The sequence below is a fragment of the Homo sapiens genome, chromosome 6 (genome assembly GCF_000001405.40).
Source record: "Homo sapiens chromosome 6, GRCh38.p14 Primary Assembly".
In the NCBI taxonomy this organism is placed as follows: domain Eukaryota; kingdom Metazoa; phylum Chordata; class Mammalia; order Primates; family Hominidae; genus Homo; species Homo sapiens.
The window spans coordinates 134,299,536-134,320,316 of NC_000006.12; the positions used below are offsets into that span (position 1 = coordinate 134,299,536).

Consider the following 20,781-nt stretch of genomic DNA (forward strand, 5'->3'; position numbering starts at 1 on the left):
AGTGAAGGGAGTGAGGTAAGGTATGCTGATGTGTGCAGAACAGGGAGGACTTTGAAAACTATGCAGAGTGGTTGGCTGACATACAGTAAAACTCATAACAAGTATGCTCATTAGCATAATTATTAAACTCTGGCTTAGTAAACCACTTAAAAAAAAAGATTTCCAATGTGGAAATACTCAATGTTTGGATATGCCTGTTCATTCTAGTTTAGGCATTTCCTTCTGACAGGTTTTTAGAGCCTCTGGTAGCTTTTCCAATCCCTGTGACTTTTTTTTTTTTTTTGCCCTGAGTTTGGAGGAGTCGGATAATGAAATTTAAACTAAAGCATGTTAGCATCACCTATACTCAAGAAGGTCCAAATACCTCAATTCTTCACAAAATAAAATGCTTTTTTAATTCAAAAAAAGAAAGTAAGTCAAAAAGAGAGAGAGAAAAAAAACACACAGCAGATAACTGAGAAAATAAGAGAGTTTATTGCCACTAAAAAAGGAACCTGGCTTCTAACATCATATTTGCCATTTCTCTATGTGACTCTAGGGAAGTACTTTTCTCTCTCAATGCCTTCTTCCCTCAGGAAAACCTTATTACTATGAGAAAGATGTTAATTTGTCTAAAGTGCTGTAATTTTTTCATGGGGATGTTAAGGAGGGAAAGGCAGGGAGAAAGAAGATGGGGAGAGATGAGTTAAGAGATGAGTTAAGGTGAAAGATGGTGGTGGCAGGCGGGGCGCAATGGCTCACGCCTGTAATCCCAGCACTTTGGGAGGCCGAGACGGGCAGATCACGAGGTCAGAAGATTAAGACCATCCTGGCTAACATGGTGAAACCCCAACTCTACTAAAAATTCAAAAAAATTAGCCAGGCGTGTGGCGGGCGCCTGTAGTCCTAGCTACTCGGGAGGCTGTGGCAGGAGAATGGCATGAACCCGGGAGGCGGAGGTTGCAGTGAGCCGAGATCGCGCCACTGCACTCCAGCCTGGGCAACAGCGCAAGACTCTGTCTCAAAAAAAAAAAAAAAAAGAAAGAAAGATGGTGGTGGCTTGCACCAAGGGATAGGCCCTGGAGATAAAGAGAAAGGAGTTAAAAATAAATGTTTGGTTTTTTTTTTTTTTTTTGGAGATGGAGTCTCGCTCTGTTGCCCAGGCTGGAGTGCAATGGCATGATCTCGGCTCACTACAACCTCCACCTCCTGGGTTCAAGCAATTCTCCTGCCTCAGCCTCCCGAGTAGCTGGGATTACAGGCATGCGCCACCACACCCGGCTAATTTTTGTATTTTTAGTAGAGAGGGGGGTTTCACCATCTTGGCTAGGCTGGTCTTGAACTCCTGACCTCGGGTGATCTACCCGCCTCGGCCTCCCAAAGTGGTAGGATTACAGGCGTGAGCCACCGCGCCTGGCCAAGAAATGTATTTTGGAAGTAAACACAGTAGAATATGCTGATGAATTGCACTGACGTTGGGAGAAAAGAAAGAGAAATAATTTCTAGATTTCTCACTCTCACAAATGAGTTATGTAGTAGTATCATTTACTGAAATAGAGAAAAATAGGAAGAAAAATCAAGAGTTGGGTTTTGAACAGGACTAGCTCAAGATGTGTGTGAGACATTTCAATGGGAATGTTTAGTAAACAATTGGGAACAGAGGTCTGGCATTCAGGCAACTAAGTTTCTGAATAACAGATTACATTTAAAGCACAGGAATGAATGAACCTGTGTGTGGAGGAGGAGGGAGAGTGGATGGGAAAGTGAGAAAGATGGAGAACTACAGTAAGAGGGAAAGGGCAAAAAGATGTTCAGAGGCTGGTGAGCCAAGGACTGAGTTTGAGCCATCCCCACATTATTGGTAAGACAGAGCAGGAAGGCCTGAAAGGAAACTAAGAAATCACCCACAAGTAGGAGGAGAGGCTGGAGTGCTGGGCCACAGAAGCCACAACTGAGTATTCCAAGGAGGAGCGGTCCACAGGAAGGACCACCTTTTCTTCTCTTCTCTTTTCTCTTTTCTTCTCTTCTCTTCTCTTCTCTTCTCTTCTCTTCTCTTCTCTTCTCTTCTCTTCCCTTCTCTTCTCTTTTCTTTTTGAGACAGGGTCTTACTCTGTTGTCCAGGCTGGAGTGTAGTGGTGTGATCATGGCTCACTGCAACCTCAACCTTCTGGGCTCAAGCGATCTTCCCACCTCAGCCTCCCGAGTAACTGGGAATACAGGCATGTGCCACCAGCCTGGCTATTTTTTTTATTATTATTTCCTGGAGACCTGAGGGTCTTGCTGTGTTGCCCAGGCTGGTCTTGAACTCCTGGGCTCAAGCAATCCTCCCATCTTTACCTCCCAAAGCACTGGGATTATTGGCATGAGCCACCACTGCTCTGGTAAACTGAAAGGGAAAGTTAAGATATGGATGGATAAGTGTCAAGAAGGCAAAAGAAATACGAAACAAAAGAGCTTGATAGTAAAGAAAACAGAAGGATGGAATGCCCTCCAAGTTTTTGAGGCCTTAATGAGAAATATTTTAGTGAATGGGGAATAATAAAGAGATTCTAAAGATCATTCAGAGTGTTGATGAGTTACATGGATTATGATTTTGAATTTCAAATGGACTTTAAGTCTTTATGTAAGACAGATTAGAAAACAAAATTTCACATTAAATTGATTAAATTAGGTCAAAACTCATCAATAACTAATTATACATTGGACATAAGTATTTCCATATCTTTTTGTCCCTCAGTGCCTTGTGCATATGTAACTAAAAAAGCAGAGTAATTTGGTGTCATTTGATTTAATGAGATCCTGCGCAAATGAAATACCTTTTTAACACTGAAGTTAGACCATTGCAGTGCTCCAGGGACAACTATCTATAGAAGATAAATTAATTATGTTCACTACTTCCTAAGCCTATAGAAACAACTAAATAACTAAATGAGAGAATCAACCTGTTGATGATGTGCAGGTCTTTTGAGAAATGACCTTTAATCAATAAAATCCCAGAGCACAGAGGTTTCATAGCAGCTTGTCTTCAGACCGACTCATCAGTAAAATCACAACTTACACCACAACAAAACGTTCAGAAAAGTAAGCTATAGAGGTAGGTCATAATTTTGAGGTCTGTCTTGATAATATCTAACATATTTTGAGTGCTTAGTGCGTACCAGGCATTGGGGCTAAATACTTTACATGCGTTAGGTCATTTAATCCTCATAACAGTTCTTTGAGGTATTATTGTTATTATTATTATTATTTTATTATTTTGAGACAGAGTCTCACTCTGTCGCCCAGGCTGGAGTGTAGTGGGGTGATCTTGGCTCACTGCAACCTCCACCTCCCGGGTTCAAGCAATTCTCCTGCCTCAGCCTCCCCACTAGCTGAGACTACAGGTGTGCGCTATCATGCCTGGCTAATTTTTATGTTTTTAGTCGAGAAAGGGTTTCACCATGTTGACCAGGCTGATCTCGAAATTCTAACCTCAAGTGATCCACCCACTTCAGCCTCCCAAAGTGTCAGGATTACAGGCATGAGCCACCGTGCCCAGCCTGAGGTATTATTATTAAATCCATTTTACAGATAAGCCTTAGAAAGTTAAGGCTTAGAGGCCAGGCACAGTGGCTCACGCCTATAATCCCAGCACTTTGGGAGGCTGAGGTGGGCGGATCACGAGGTCAGGAGATCGAGTCCATCCTGGCTAACACGGTGACACCCATCTCTACTAAAAATACCGAAAATTAGCGGGGCGTGGTGGCAGGCGCCTGTAATCCCAGCTACTCAGGAGGCTGAGGCAGGAGAATGGCGTGAACCTGGGAGGCGGAGCTTGCAGTGAGCCAAGATGGCGCCACTGCACTCCAGCCTGGGTGACAGAGCAAGACTCTGTCTCAAAAAGAAAAAAGAAAAAAAAAGATAGTTAAGGCTTAGAATATTAAATGCCTTGCCCGATGTTACCATGCTCGGAAACAATTTAGTTAAGAGGCCAACACTGTTTGTCTGATCTCGTATTAGGAGTCCTTAATGTTCTTCTCCTGTAAATGTTCAGATTTAAAAAAAAGATCATAGATAAATTCAGTACAGTTGGATACAGTTTGAAAAATTATTTTATATTTTAGTGAAATAGAAAGTTTTAGCCAGGTGTAGTAGTGCTGGGTGCCTGTTGTCCTAGCTACTCGAGAGGCTGAGGTGGGACCATGACTTGAGCCAAGGAGGTTGAGGCTGCAGTGAGCTATGATCCAGCCACTGGACTCCAGCCTGAGCGACACAGCACGATTCTGTCTCCAAGAAAAAAAAAAAGAAAAGAAAAGAAAAGAAAGAAACTTTGACACAGTTTCTCTTTGCCACTCTTCATATTGAGAGGTGAAGTTTATTTTCCTTCCCCTTGAATCTGGGCTGGCCCAATGACGTTTTGTTTTGTTTTGTTTTTGATTAATAAAATGCAGCAGAAGTCACACTATATGACACCCAGGACTCGGCCTTATGAGATCGTCAGCTTCCACAGGCTCTCTTGAAGCACTCCCTGTTAGAAGCCGGCAGCCATCTAAGTCTATCTTAAGAACATGTTACTGTGAGGATGCCCAAGCTATGTGGAGAGAGAAAGAGGCCAATAGAGATGCACTGACACCAAACAAGAAGCTTTCTCGGACTTTCTGGCTCAGCTCAACCACCAGCTGAATGCAGCCAAGGAAAGACTCAGCCAACGTCACAGGGAGCAGAACCCTCCAAATGAGTGACACTGAATTCCTAATCCACAGAATCATGAGTAAATAAATGACAGTAGCTTTTGCTCATCAAATTCTGGGTAGTTTGCTTTGCAATAATAGTAACATAAATTTAGTAGAGTTGGACACAATTTGAAAGAAATACAGGCTGGGTGCGGATGCTCACGCCTGCAATCCCAGCACTTTGGGAGGCTGAGGTGGGAGGATCACTCGAGGTCAGGAGTTTGAGACCAGCAAGGCCAACAAGGTGAAACCACGTCTCTACTAAAGATATAAAAGTTAGCCGGGTGTGGTGGCAGACTGAGGCAGGAGAATTGCTTGAATCTGGGAGGCGGAGGTTGCAGTGAGTGGAGATTGCACCACTGCATTCCAGCCTGGGCAATAGGGAGGATCACTTGAGTCTTGAAGTTCAAGGTTAAAGTGAGCAATCATCGCACCACTACTCTCCAGTCTGGGGGACAGAGCAAGATCCTGTCTCAGAGAGAGAGAGAGAGAAAGAGAAAGAAAAGGAAAGAACAAAGAGAAAAAAAAACAAGGCAGTTTACAATGAAAAACACATAAGAGGAGAGTGAAAATAAAAACACAAGATTAAAACCAAGTTCAGTGACTAAGAAGTTATTTCTAAAGATTTGTCCAATTTGTTCACTGAAATTTATATTTAAATTTACCTTTGAGTTTCCTGGCAACTGAGGCAAACCTAAGAGATTATATCATGCTAAATGTGATTTCCTTCAGAAAAGAAAAATCTTTAACCTACTACTAAATTATTAAGAGCACTTTACTACATGGATCCCTTTACAGGGAACAGTGAATGATAGAGAAGACAATGACTTCAGAAGAGATGATATTTAACCAGGCACGGTTGCTCACACCTGCAATCCCAAAACACTTTGGGAGGCCAAGACGGGTGGCTCACCTGAGGTCAGGAGTTTGAGACCAGCCTGGTCAACATGGTGAAACCCCCATCTCCACTAAAAATACAAAAATTAGCTGGGCATGGTGGCTGGTGCTTGTAGGCCCACCTACTCTGGAGGCTGAGGCACAAGAATCACTTGAACCCCAGAGGCGGAGGTTGCAGTGAACCAAAATCGCGCCCACTGCACTCCAGCCAGCCTGGGCAACAGAGTGATACTTCATCTCAAAAAAAAAAAAAAAAAAAAAAAGGGAAAGAAAACCCGGTTTCTACTAAAAATACAAAAATTAGCCCAGCGTGGTGGTGTGTGTTTATAGTCCCAGCTACTTGGGTGGCTGAGGCAAAAGAATCACTTGAACCCAGGAAGCAGAGATTGCAGTGAGCCATGATCGCACCACTGCACCCAAGTCTGGGTGACAGAGCGAGACCCTGTCTCAAAAAAAAAAAAAAAATGTTATTTACAATACAGATGTGTCTCAGATGATGGAATTTAAAAAAATTTATTCAATGTATTTTGCTGTTTTTTCAGAGATGGGGTTTTGTTCTGTTGCCCAGGCTAGAGTACAGTGGTGTGACTATGGCTCACTGCAGCCTCCACCTCCTGGACTCAAGTGATCCTCCCACCTCAGCCTCCCAAAGTGCTGGAATTACAGGGATGAGCCATCATGTCTAGCACATGATGGAACTTTAACATAAACCAAACAGAATAAAATGCAAAGAACTTTCAATTTCTATATGAGTTTTCAGATTAACTCCCCTCTTTCTCCTCCATAGACCTTAGGCATTTCACCATCTTTTGGCTTTCTGTTTCAACATATACTTATTGATAACCCCCCAGGGGCCAGGTCCTGAGGGTTTAATTGTATGTAAAAGAGAAGGAAGGTCCTTGTCCTCATAGAGCTCATAGTCCAGGAGGACATTAATTAATGCTGAAGGCATTCATTAAAAAGCTTTACCAATATGCAATTGCAAACTGACAGGTGCCATAAAAAATAGCACAAGGCCGGGCGCGGTGGCTCAAAGTGCCTGTAATCTCAGCACTTTGGGAGGCCGAGGTGGGTGGATCACCTGAGGTCAAGAGTTCGAGACCTGCCTGGCCAACATGGTGAAACCCCATCTCTACTAAAAATACAAAAATTAGCTGGGCATGATGGTGCATGCCTGTAATGCCAGCTACTCAGGAGGCTGAGGCAGAAGAATTGCTTGAACCCGGGAGGCGGAGGTTGCAGTGAGCCAAGATCGCAACACTGCACTCCAGCCTGAGCAACAGAGTGAGACTCCGTTTCAAAAAAAAAGAAAAAACACACAAGGAGCTATAATGAGCATGTTATGGAGGGACACAATCCAAGTTTCTGGGGAAGGGAGTTGGGGAGTGAAGGAAGCTTGTGATTTCTTTTTTCCTTTAGAGACAGGGTCTCACTCTATCTCCCAGGCTGGAGTACAGTGGTGGCATCATGGCTTACTGCAACCTCCACCTTCTGGGTTCAAGTGATCCTGGCACCTCAGCCTCCTGAGTAGCTGGGACTACAGGCACTCACCACCACACCTGGCTAATTTTTTAATTTTTTTGTAGAGATGGGGTTTTGCCATGTTCCCCAGCTGGTCTCGAATCCGCTCGCCTCAGCCTCCCAAAGTGCTGGGATTACAGATGTTAGCCACTGAGCTCGACCTGGAAGCTTATGATTTCTTATTTTCTCTTTCCCACCTTAAAACCTGACACATCAAAGTGCTCAATTCATGTTGGCTGTTGATGATGAGAATACAAAGAAATAAAAGGGGGGGGGGGCGGAATTTCAACACTAATTCTGAAATAAATTCTGAATCTGTTATTTCAAAGGATATTAACTTTAGAAATGAAGACACATTAGAAATTTGCATTGCTCTGAGTTTTGTAAAAGAATGAAATGTATAATGCAAGACATAACTGCCAAGGTACTAGATGAAAAAAAAATTATACATTCTGAAATTCCATCTGATAGAGATCAGTTCTGAAGGGTTAATCTCAATTGCCTGATTTAATGTGTTTGCTTTGCACCAGATGAATAATAATTAGCAATGGCTTCACCAACTTATTAGTGACAACGTAGAGAAGGTGTGGGCCCTTTTACGTAAAAGCTGACTAATAGACAAATAAATTAGATATGACTGTTTTGCCAAAGCTGATAACTAAGGCCCTGTATACAATGAGTGCCAAGTCCTGGTTGTTTCTACGTAACATTTAATCTTTGAAGGCAAGTGGTTGAAGGAGAAAGCAATTATATTGACGTTCGTTGTAGAAATTCATTTACAGATTGTTACTACAATTGTCCCTCAGTCTCTGCGGGGGATTGATTCCAGGACCCCTGCAGATCCTAAAATCCATAGATGCTCAACCCCCTGATATAAAATGGCATCGCATTTGCATATAGCCAATGCATACCCTCCCTAACATTTAAAATGATCTCTAGATTGCTTATAATAGCAAATACAACATAAATGCTATGTAAATAGTTGTTATACTGTATTGCTTAGGGAAGAATGACAAGAAGAAAGGTATGTACGTGTTCAGTACAGATGAAACCATCCTCTTTTTTTCCCAAATATTTGACCTGCAGTTGGTTGAATCCACAGATGTGGAACCCGTGAATACCTGGAAGCAGTTAAAATCACTCCAAGATTTTCTTTAAATTCTTCTCTTCATCAATACTCTCTCTATTCCACCAAGTAATGATATCATAATTACACATGGTAGCTCTTCCCCAAGACCCTTGATTAAATTGTTTTTATTGATTCATCAAGCATATATTATTGAGCGTCTACTACACACCAGGCACACAGACAGAACTGTGAACAAGGCAGACAAGGTCCTGCACCCAGCACGTGTATATTCTAGGTTTCAGAGAAGCTATGTGAGGCTGTGAAGAGGATTCTTTTTTAATGTCTTTATTTTTATACTACCCCTCCACAGCCTTACCCCAATCTTTTAAACCACACCGGAAGCTATGTACTCATCGTTTTTTTCCTGTAATTTTTTTTACAGTACAACCTAAATAAATACTGGCCCAGAAAGATTCAGAGTTCAAAGAAAATTCAGCTGCTTTCGGAAAGATCATTCTATGGGAAAGATCACATTTCTGAGTAATAAACATTATAAATACATATTCCGATTTATTTTTAATTCTCAAACTATTAACTTTCATTTTTCCCCTCTGGCATATTTTAATTTTTGTCCTACAGGGACTTGAGTCTAAATATGTTTTAACAATTTGGGGGACTTTTCTTTTTTCACCTTGCTATTTCTAGAGACTAAAATCTTTGAGCTACCAAGGTCTTTCAAACTGGCTGATGTCACTCTAACAAACTCAGAGATAGCAAGATGTTCCTTAAGCCACTGGGTTAGAACGAGAATCCTTTGTTTTCTATGGGCACAATCCTAGGAATGTTTCTTCTCTTTTTTTTGAGACAGAGTCTCTCTCTGTCACCCAGCCTGGCGTGAAGTGGTGCCCTCTCAGCTCACTGCAACCTCCACCCCCCGGGTTCAAGTGATCCTCCTGCCTCAGCCTCCTGAGTAGCTGGGATTACAGGTGCACGCCACCACACCCTGCTAATTTTTGTATTTTTAGTAGAGACAAGATTTCACCGTGTTGGCCAGGCTGGTCTCAAACTCCTGACCTCAGGTGATCCACCCGCCTCAGCCTTCCAAAGTGCTAGGATTACAGGCGTTTGCTACCGTGCCCGGCAAGCCTAGGAATATTTCACTTCATGCTTTTCTCTTTTGCCTTGCTGTGAGCTTATCCTCCAGAGACAACAGAGAGAGAGAAAGAGAGAGAGACAGGAGAGAGAAAGTGGAAGAACCACATGACCAGTCATTTCCCGAAGCAAATGGCGTTTTGGGTGAATGCCCTGACCTAGGAGGGAAAAAGAGGCCAAGGTTACCCTAATGTTACAGAAGTAGCTAAGTGAATTCTTCTCCGAAAAACGTCACAGCAGGCTCTAGAAAGCAATTAGAGTAATATTTTGGCACCTCGAACTACCAAATAGAAGATTCCTCTACTGCTCTAGTTACATCTTTGATTTTCATTTCCCTTTGTTGTAAATACTTACAATGTCATTTCAGAATGCTGCAGAGAAATAGATGTGAGAGTAAACAAACTATAATAATAATCCTTTCTCCACATGCCATGGCAGCTGCAGGAGGAGGCCAACGCAGCACCGAACTTGCCTTACTGTCTGCTTTTCCTGTCCTCCTCCTCCTGCACCTCCTTCACCTCCTCCACCTCCTTCTCCTCCACTTTCCCACATGGTCTTTTATAAATTTGCCAGCATCACTGTGCAGTTTGCCAGAGAAACCTGGCCACTTGCTGGGTAAGCCTGCTCTTAGACCAAGGACCAGGGTAGGTCACTGCTGCTGTCCTCATTTCTGGGCCAGAAGGATTCACTGAGAGTGAGGTCCAGAACCACCTGCTTTCCCATTACAGAGGATGTGGATCTCTATAGAGACACTGCGTATCCCTTCAGTTAAAGCTCTTCGAAGACTCTTTTTACCCTGCGAGCTGAACTTTCTTGAGCCCCATAGAATGGATAAAAATCTTCATCCCCAGGTTGGTGAGGAGCCAATGATTTCACGCTCAAACAAGCTGACAAGCTAGGAATCCTAGCTTTCCTTAGCAGGCAGGAAACAGCATCCCACTCATAAGTCAGGAGTCTTTTCTGCCAATGTTAGGAATGTTGATATTTACCTTTATTTTTGGACTTATTTCTAAAAAAAATTAACTAGTATGTAAAAAAAAATCACACTTTAAAAATATGCTTCTACAATATTTGCTCTAGCGAACTATCTTTAGCTTGACCTAAATTACTAATTAAACTTTTCTATTGATCCAATTCCCATTACTGTTCCTGCCTTTATGCTTTCATATTCGGAAATCTCCAACATGCATTTTGATGGCTCCACCCCCCACGTTCCTCACTCCTGCCCCCTCATTTTGGTTTTGCTTTACCTTGTTAAGCACTTACAGATCATAAAATATGGGTGAGCTCAGAATATCTCTTACTCCAGTGTTACATATGGCACCCGCATTTCAGCACCAGCCCTTTAAAAAATGGTGCAGAATTTCAAGGAACTCAGCTACACTTTCCATTCAAAATCCCTCCCAAGCACTGTAGCTAAGAGCCTATCTCAGGATTTTCTTGAGAGCTGCTGGGGAGGCAAAATATCTATCTAACGAAAATGGCTCATCATCCACATTCTGCAGTACTGAGACTAATTCCCCAGCACTGCCAAACCTAGACTGCTGAACTCCCTCATCCAAACTCTCTAAGACTTAGTGGTCAAAGTGCCAAAGGCATCCGTCTTACTCACACTCTGTGGCTCCTAAGACCATGCTGAAAAGTGAGGATAAGTAATAATTGAAAGACATTTTTAGGATTCTAGTTGGGAGGATACATAATGCAGATACTATATAGTTTTTGTTTGTTTGTTTGTTTTTTGAGATGCTGTCTCACTGTGTTATCCAGCCTGGAGTACAATGGCGTGATCTTGGCTCACTGCCACCTCCGCCTCCCAGGTTCAAGTGACTCTCCTGCCTAGGCCTCCTGAGAAGCTGGGATTACAGGTGCCCACCACCACTCCCAGCTAATTTTTGTATTTTTAGTAGAGACGGGATTTCACCATGTTGGCCAGGCTGGCCTCAAACTCCTGACCTCAGGTGATCTGCCTGCCTTGGCCTCCCAAAATGCTGGGATTAAAGGTGTGAGCCACTGTGCCCAGCCTACTATATATTACTGAAGTTAGTAATTCATATTAATGCAAAATAAAAGGAGATTAGTGAATCACTGCTACGTCTGTCTTGTTTGGCCTGACAAGAAAAGTATCATAGAAGAGAAGGTGTGTTATGGGCATTGGATCAGCAAATAAGCTGAGGTCAAGCTTCCCTAAGTACCCACCAGCTCTGAAGGGGAAGTGACAGCTTGTCTTTGAGCCAGATTTAGGTTACATTTCAGTCTTAATTTATATCTAATCCATATCTAAACATAGAGAGAAATAAAATGCATTAGATTTCTGAGCCACCAAAGCCTGTTTAAAGGAAGACGGAGGAGGAAGGAGAAGAGGGCAATGACTTAGGGGCAAGTAATAGAAGGATTTGTTCTTTTATTTTATGCATTCTTTTATTCAACAAATATGTTTTGACAAGTAGGGGATACAGTGAACAAGGTAACTGGTTTTCTGTCCTTAAAGACCTTCCAGCCAGTTGTGGTGGCTCATGCTTGTAATCCCAGCACTTTGGGAGGCCAAGGCTTGTGGATCACCTGAGGTCAGGAGTTGGAAACCAGCCTGGCCAACATGGTGAAACCCTGTCTCTACTAAAAAAAAAAATACAAAAAAATTAGCTGTGCATGGTGGTGCACACCTGTAATCCCTGCTACTCAGGAGGCTGAGGCAGGAGAATTGCTTGAACCTAGGAGCCAGAGGTTGCAGTGAGATGAGATGGTGCCACTGCACTCCAGCCTGGGTGACAGAGTGAGACTGTATGAAAAAACAACAAAACAAAAAACCTTCCTGCCCTGTGGGAGCTACAGAGGAATAAGCAGTACTAATGTAACAATGCAGTGTCACTGGGACCATGTGCTGTGTTGTGGGCGCAGGCTCAAGAGGAACTCAAACAGCTTAGATTTTAGCCATTCCGAAGAAAGCACAGTAGCAGCCACTGGAGTCTCCGCCGTGTTCCGGGAAGCATGATCAAACATATCTTGAAAAAATCTAAAGCAGACTTCAGATTTGTTAGAAAGCATTCCTACCGCTCTCAGTAGTGACTTGGAGAATCTACCTCTTCATAGCTAAGGCTATAACAACATCAACAACAACAACAACAAAACACCTCTTTGGGTTGTCTTCACAAGTAGTTTCCAATTCAGTAGAGCCAATCCTGCAACAGTATTGGCATCATCGCAGTGCACTCCAGTGACGCAAATGGAAAGACTGCTGCTGGTAAACGAACTACCTGAATTTGAATTCTGGCTATACCTCTTCCTAGGTCTACGATTTTTAACAAATCAGTTAACCTCTGACCCTCAGTTTCCTTGGCTATAAAATGGGCATAATGAAGGATTGTGAGAGTTACCTGAGTAAAGTGCTTTGAACGGTGCTGCTCAATAATGTTATCCCTCTGAGAAGACATCGAAAGTTTCCCATAAGAAAAGGGCCTTTGTTATTCCAATTTGGATACTTTAAGCAGGCAAAATAGAACAGTAAAAGGAAAACAAATGTAAAGGGATGCTGTTTATGAAATAGTTGTGAAGAATAAGCACTTCAGAGGAGCTTAATTTAACTTCTCAGCTCTGCTAGAGTAAACATTGTAACCAGACTAAAAACCTTTCCTTTGTTCCTGCAGTTATTAGAGAAAGGAGGAGGCCAGAGAAGTCATATCATTTCACTTCTCTGAACTTCACCCTGGATTATTTAATGTTGACAGGCATTCGGGATGTATAGAGATTAAGGACACAGACTCTGGAGCCTGGTGCTGGGATCCAAACCCTGATCCTGTCACTAACTAGCTATGTGACTTGGGGCAAGTTCTTCAACTTCTGTACACCTCAGTTTCTTCATCTATGAAATCACAATAATAAAAGTACCTATCTCAGGTATTTTTATATATGATAATTTTTTTTTTTCCTTGAGATGGAGTCTCACTCTGTCATCCCAGCTGGAGTGCAGTGGCGAGACCTCAGCTCACTACAACCTCCGCCTCCCTGGTTCAAGCGATTCTCCTGCTTCAGCCTCCTGAGTAGCTGGGATTATGGGCGCCTGCCATCACACCTGGTTCATTTTTGTATTTTTAGTAGAGACAGGGTTTCACCACGTTGGCCAGGTTGGTCTCGAACTCCTGACTTTAAGTGATCTGCCTGCCTAACCCTCCCAAAGTTCTGGCATTACAGGCGTGAGCCAACGCGCCCAGCCTGTGTATGATGATTTAAATGTGTAATGTACTTAAAGCTCTTAGAACCATGCCCAGCAATATTAATGCCATTTAAGTCATAGTTATTAGAAAAGCTACTGTTATTAAAGAATAATGCAAGGAATTGTTCAAATGCATATAATCATAAAATAGAGAGTCAAGGCTGGGCACAGTGGGTGGCTCACACCTGAAATGTCAACACTTTGGGACGCTCCCTTGAGCCCAGAAACTCGAGACCAGCCAGGGCAACATAGTGAGACCTTGTCTCTGCAAACAACCAACCAACCAAACAAACAAACAAAAATAACAACAACAAAAATACAGAGTCAAAATGGAACGGTCTTGTCAAAGTTGGTAGTCACTATGCCGTTAGTTTCATGAAGATAAAACATGGTTATTTTGTTCCTACTCTATTTGTTGAAAAATGAATGAATGAGGCATGAAAGACTTGACTAGTTTGATGTTGAGAACTTAGCAAAAAGGAAAGCACACGAGATCTGGAAGTGAAAACCCAAAACATGAGTCCTGGCTTAACCTCATTCTAATTTGACAGGTGATTTACCACAGGTACTCAGTTTCCTCATCTTTGAAAGAGGGAAGTCAGAGGGAGAATTTCTGAGGTTCATTCCACATCCAAAATTCTGCAGCGTTAGATAGCCTTTCGAATTTTACAAAAGGTAATGTAATCATGGCTATGGAAGTTTTTTTCACATACCTTGTGTATTTCCAAAAAGGATTATCGAGTTGGAGACAATGTCATTTGTTTGCGTTTTCTAAATCATTATGTAAGAATCTGAGCCACAAACAGAACAAATCTTTAAATCCATGAAAATGGATTACCTTTAGCTGGACTGACAACTTTTAAAACTCTTGGATTGGGAGAATAAAACTGATAAGGACATTTTTCCATTCATCTTAAATGAATTTTTGGAGACTCTTAAGAGTAAAATATAATCCATATACATCTAATGCTAATTTATCATGAACACTTAAAGAATGAAAGTAGAACTCTTATCCAGTTTAGTTCAGCAATTCTCTGCTAAATGAAATTAAGCTGCTTTAGTTGAGCTTTTAAAATATGAGGATGAGAAGCATAAATCCAAAGGATTTTGTAGAACTAGCATCCGGACTGTCTTTCTTCAGATTATGTTCCTAGAATCTGGGTTCCCCAGGGCAGCCTCTCATTACTGTCAGTATTAAGGACTAGAAAGGAGCTGGAAGAGGCTTGGCCGCTTTTATAGGTTTTTGGTAGTGGCATAAAGATTTCACTTGGTTGGGGGAGGGGGGTAGGGGGACAGAAGAGTCTGTTGTGGAAACTAAAAGAAAAGAAGGGGAGAGTGGTCTGAAATCAAAAAGTCTGGATTACGTATACAAGCTTTGAGTTGAACAAGGTTTAAATTTTAGCTCTGCTACTTTTTAGTTATGTGACCTTGGGCGAATGGTTTAATCTCTCTAAGTCACACTTTGCACATTTAATAATGTTTCTTACCTTATAGGGTTACTGTGAATATTAAATGAGCTAATACATGTAAAGCATTCCTACCCAGAACATAGTCAGCTCTAATAAATAGTGACTGACAGACAGCTACAAGGGCAGATAACCTATATTCTCCTTCAGTTTCTTATGCTCCCTCTGGAATGTCTCAGAAGCATAGGAAGCACTGTTTAAGCCTCCTGCAATCAAAAATCATTCTTTTTAATTAGCCCTAATAGACCCTATGGTTTTTTTTTTTTTTTTTCCAAAATCTATTCATAGTTTAATGTGGGCTATGGACAAAGGTTCACTTTGTAAGACTGTCTAGCTAGGTTAAAAATAAAATATGCAGAAATGTGTGGAACTTCAACAATAGAATATAAGAAAATGAATTATTCTGAACTGCAAACAAAGGCATTGTAGTATATGAATGTGTATGTGAAGTAAAAGTTTGGAAAGTATAAACATCAGTATGGTAACAGTTACTACATCTGGGAAAGGGAGAAAGATTGGAGAGGAGGTGGGATATACCTTATTATTGTTTTAATGTTTTATAGATGTATTTACATATTGTTTAACTAAAAACAAACAAACAAAAAAAGCAAAGTCATGTACAAGCAGAAATAAACATTTAGAATACAGAATTTGTGGAATAAACCAAAGTAGACAAAAATCAAAGAATTTATCCCTGGGGCATTCAATGACTTGATACAAGGTCACCTTCTACTTAGTTAACTGTCCTTGAGGAGTAAGGAGAGCGCAGGGGCAGGAGAGATGTCTGATCCTGTCTCCAGCAACTGATAGACCCAGGTTAGAAGTTAGATGAAGCTGCCTGCCAGTTATCTTGGTAGAAACTTCTTTCTGCATGTACTCAGATAAGACATCAGTACCCTGGGTGGTTCTCTGCAAAATTCAAGGTCTGCAGAGTCACCAACTGAAGTCTATTGGTAAACTTGCTTTTAAGCAAAACAAAACCAAATGGCAAATTAGTATTTCTATTAGTACATTTTGATAACAAAGAAAATAAAAGACAATTTAAAATTTATGTAACTTAAATCTACATTGCTTAAGAACATCTGACTGAGGAGTTTTAGAATATCCCCAATACCATGAAATAAATACAGTAATTAAAAGGCAATAGAGTTTAAATACTGGATAATGGGCTATGGCATTTTTAAAATTAGCAAAACATTTGTTTATTATTGAAAATTAGGGCTGGGCCTGGTGGTGGACATCTGTAATCCCAGCAATTTGGGAGGCTGAGGCAGGAGGACCACTTGAGCCCAAAAGGTCAAGACCACCCTGGGCAATATAGCAAGACCCCGTCTCTAAAAAAAAGAAAAAGAAAGAAAGAAAATTAATTTTCATAAAGGGCTCTTCCCTTGGAAAGAAATATTTTAGCTACAGAGAAAAACTAAGAAGCCTTGTGGAGCTCTGTGAAGTTGCACTGACTTGCTTTCACTTAGCTTGCAGCTCACTAGTGAGATTTCACATGGTACTCCCACTCCAAGAGCAGGGGCCAGGACAGGTTGGTTTCATTTTGGTTTGAATGCATATGCTTTGGCCCACAGACTTGGAGAAAGATTTTGCTTTACTGATGAGAACTCAGTCAAGGGTGCTTGGGAGCCTTCGCTGGCCCTCTAGCTGGGCCTGACATGTTGCCTGCATTTCTAGCCTTGCCTTCCCAGCTTGCCCATTTGGTGCAGGGAGATAGTCCAGCCCACCCTGAAATTCACTGTGTTCTGCGGATGAGTTAACTGAAGGGCTGTGTTTCAGGAGTGGCACAGAAAGGACCTGAATGAAAGGAAGGAGGAATGAATGGAGAGAACCATTTTGGTGGAATTGCCCTAGGGTATTAAATAGGATGGGGCAACTGGGGACTGGAGGATGTTCCTTCTCTTACGTTGCTTAGGAAACACTGTCCTTAAGAGTGTCAGTGTCATTCCTTTAACAATCATTCATTTCTTACCTCCCGCTTGTGTATAAATTTGCAGATTTACACAGACCACCAGTGTGGCCATCCCAGTGAACTGAGTTTATTGTGAAATATACATGCAAAAAAATCCTTTTTTCTCACCTACAACCAATGCAACATTATTCATACTTTGAGTTGAAGAATAAGGAGTTTAAGAAATAAATGCATACAGCAACATAACCCTGAATTATCACTCAAATACAGACCTCCCACTGCTCTCTCCCAAAAAAAAAAAAAAAAAAAAAAAAAAAAAGGCAGTTATTCTAAGCAAAAGCAAAAATTGAGGCAACTTAAAATAGACAATTTTAAATGCTGGATTCCATCATTTCTGTAAAAGGTCATTCTACTCCTTTGCTATTTATACCACAGATAGAGACACAGCAAATTATTGGCTGAATGGATTTGGGAAACCAGAAGCTGCTGCTTCTGACGAACGAAGATGATAATGCATCACTTGAGACTGAGTGGATGAAAGGTGTAGAAAAGTTGAACCCTTCAAAGATGAGAGGAAGCTGCTAAATTAGCCCCTGACTAAATTACTAGCCATAATTGTACTCAAGCCAGTTCTCTTTGCGACTGCCTTGTAATCTTTGTTGTGGCTTGAGAGAGAAAAATCCCCATTCCCAGCTCAAACCCGTTTAAGGCATCTCAGCCCAACCCCCTCCTCCCAATGCAACTCTTCATAGCCCCCTGCCCCTCCTCCAACAAATTCTAATCAAGTCAGGTATAGTTCTCAGCTTTACCACTGCCATCAGAAGCACGGCTTACATTAAGGGTTTAGCAACAAAACCTCAGGCTTACTTCAGGCAAACATTCAAAAGCATTTAAGAGAAGCACAGAAAACAAAAGAAATAAGCAAAACCTGTCCTTACCCGCTTCTTAAAAAATTGGAAGGCTGAGCATTTCTTGACTGGGAATCCATTCATGTCTTTGTTTACCATTTTCCACCGTGGGGAATTCACAGTTATAGATCCAGGTTGGCACCCGCCTGGTTAGTGCATATCTGTTTCCCCGGTTTACCTCCTGCAGACAGTTAATGAAGACTGAGCGGGATGGAGAATCTAGCGGGGCTCAGTTCTTCACTCGCGCATTCTGCAGCACCAGCTACTGCAGCAACCTCTCCCCACTTTCAGTTGCCACCGACAGCGGCTTTTCTCCTTCCATCATTGCTCCGAAACATATGCATCACCGCTGCAGGACCCTGGGGGCCGGACGGTGGGATACGGCCAATCTCCGGGGAGATGCTGTGGCTCTTACCGAGCGGGAGAAGGGTACGCCTCCCCGCCCCCAGCTACCTGGCTGCTCTTCCGCGGCCGGCGCGGGGAGCGAGTCGCTCTTCTCCAGGTGATGCGCTCCTGGAGGCGGCTTGAGAGAGGAGAGTTGTTTTTGATTGTGCAAGTTCCAGTGGGAGCTGTAGTTAAGCAGCTGAGAGAAGGAGTAAGAAAGAGCAGAAGCCAGAGGGAGGGAGGGAGAACAGCGCCAGAAAGGCAGAGGGAGCGAGAAGGCGAGGCTGGAAGAAGCAACGGTTCATGAATATCTGAGCAGCGGATGGAGAGAAGGCACAGCCGGCTCAGGGCACACTGAAGAGCAGTTGACTCCCCTTGGGAGGGTTACTTTAAATAGCTTCTTTTCTTTCTTTCTTTTTTTTTTTTTTTGGTTAGGACCATTTAAATCAGAGTTTCATATAAATTGCACACCGTTTTTATTTTATGCTCATTGACATTCTTTTGAATCCTGTTGCTGAATAAAAGCCTCTCAACGGAAATGTAATCACATTTAATCTCGACCTGTCCAAACGTGGAAGAAAATGAAATAAAGTGCAAGCGTAGGTATAACAATGGAAGATCTCTCACTATGTAGAAGCTCTTTTAGCCTCCCCTCCCCTACTTGTCATTATATAGTGGGCAATGGTGACGGTAATTGTGTCTTTTTCATTAAAACAGCTTATTAAAAAAAGAACACAATGAACATATACAAAGTACTTTATTACACACATACACACACACACGAGTTATTACCAAAAAGTACTACTGAATCCATTTAATGATGAGGAAGGTTTGATAAATAAAAGAGTAAAGCATTCTTCCTATTAGGTGAAAAATTTCCCAAAAAATCCTTACTCATGTTATCCTTTGCACACTGAGCTCCTTTTAAAAAAGCCATTTAATTGTATGTGGCTTATTTTTCCATTTTTATTCTTTAATGTTGATATTTTATGGGAATGATTTTAAAGATTAGTTGATAGTAAAGCAAGAAAGCAAAGAAAATAAACTTGGCATCTGACCTGGCAGAAAGCCACCAACATCGGTGTGTGGCTTTCTGCCATCACCTGACCTCACTGTGCCTTTCGGACACTGCCTCATCCATAAAATGGAGGCAGCCACTCATTCATTCATTCACTCATTCATTTATTTAGTCATTCATTATTTGCTATTTCATTCCATTAATAAATCTAACTCTGACAAGTGTCCTCAGGATGTGGAGCCTTTTCATAATCATCACAAGGGAATATAATTGATAAATAAGTGAAAGGCGCAATGCTAATTTGAAACTGATTATGACCTCATTATATATAACACACCTAACATTGTTAAAGTATTTACATGGAAGTCTCTGGTAAGAAGAGAAACATCAGGTTAAACTGGGAAAGAAATGCATGGGTTTCATTGAATTGGACTATAAATCTCTACAGTTGGGCCAGAGTTTTTGGGAATAAACATGAAATCCTGTTTGCTAAATGCCTTGAGGTTTCCAAAAAGAAAATGCAATACAACTAAATGATGGCATGATAACCAAGGGAAAACAACTATTCATTTTGGAGAGATATGTTAAGTTGTCCAAGATGCAAGTATATGTTATGTAATCTACAACATTGATAAGTTTTTGTGGTTCTTCTAAAGAGTTCATTTAAAATTATGGTAGTTCAAAGGGAATTATTTTGAGACGATGGAAGTGTTCTCTATCATGATGATGGTGGTGGTTACATAACTATGCATTTGTCAGAACTCATCAAATTTTATATAGGAAAAGGGAAACTTTTGCTGCATGTAAATTATACCTCAATGGACCTCATTTTAAAAAATGATGGTCATTCAAGTTCTTTCTTTTTCGTCCCATTGCCACTCCCCCAAAAGTGTTTTAACAGACATTTATTGAATTTGAGTAATATACAGGAGGGGACCTTTAAGCACTCTGCTAGGAAGGAGGTGCTGGGGCTTTGCTTAATCCCACATTGGCCTAGCATGCATACTGGTTGATATCATTTGGCTGTGTCCCCACCCAAATCTCGTCTTGAATTGTAGTTCCCACAGTGAGTGATTTCTCATGAGATCTGATGGTTTTATAAGGGGCTTTTCTCCCTTTTGCTCAGCACTTCCCCTTCCTGATGCCATGTGAAGAAGAATGTGTTTGCTTCCCCTTCTGCTCTGATTGTAAGTTTCCTGAGGCCTCCCCAGCCATGCTGAACTGTGAGTCAATTAAACCTCTTTCCTGTATAAATTACCCATCTCACTATGTCTTTATTAGCAGTGTGAGAACGGACTAATACCCTGGTTTCATGTAGGATGTATGTTCATTTGGGGTGCAGGCGGGTGGTTAATAGAGATTATGAGGGAGGAGAAGACAAGCTAAATGCTATCTTTTCCCTCACTCCATGCCACCTCTTGAAGATGCTGCCACTGTCACTTGGTCTATGCTAGATCCTATGGAAGGTCCAGTGCATGTAAGTGTCACTGGTTTTTGTCACCAAGGAACTCACAGCCTAGTAGAGAAATATACAGTGTGGTAAGAATACTATA

The 20,781-nt window shown here is 41.7% G+C and overlaps 1 protein-coding gene across 1 annotated transcript in view, besides 2 other annotated features; it reads right to left on the reverse strand.

The window, feature by feature from the left end:
- Positions 1-18,577, reverse strand: part of SGK1 (serum/glucocorticoid regulated kinase 1) — a 148,857-nt gene extending 130,280 nt beyond the window's left edge. Inside the window, exon 1 of the mRNA NM_001143676.3 lies at positions 17,857-18,577. Within this exon, the coding sequence (NP_001137148.1) occupies positions 17,857-17,925 (69 nt within the window). The 5' untranslated portion in view covers positions 17,926-18,577. The remainder of the gene's footprint in view (positions 1-17,856) is intronic.
- Positions 11,686-12,245: an enhancer, noted in NCBI's record as "H3K27ac hESC enhancer chr6:134632359-134632918 (GRCh37/hg19 assembly coordinates)". NCBI's record gives its function as "activates a minimal SCP1, AML or CMV promoter by ChIP-STARR-seq in naive H9 embryonic stem cells {active_cell/tissue: H9 hESC(naive)}" and the evidence as "EXISTENCE:reporter gene assay evidence [ECO:0000049][PMID:30033119]".
- Positions 18,125-18,404: an enhancer, noted in NCBI's record as "active region_25089". NCBI's record gives its function as "activates an Ori minimal core promoter by ATAC-STARR-seq in GM12878 lymphoblastoid cells {active_cell/tissue: GM12878}" and the evidence as "EXISTENCE:reporter gene assay evidence [ECO:0000049][PMID:35858748]".
- Positions 18,578-20,781: the final 2,204 nt, after the last annotated feature.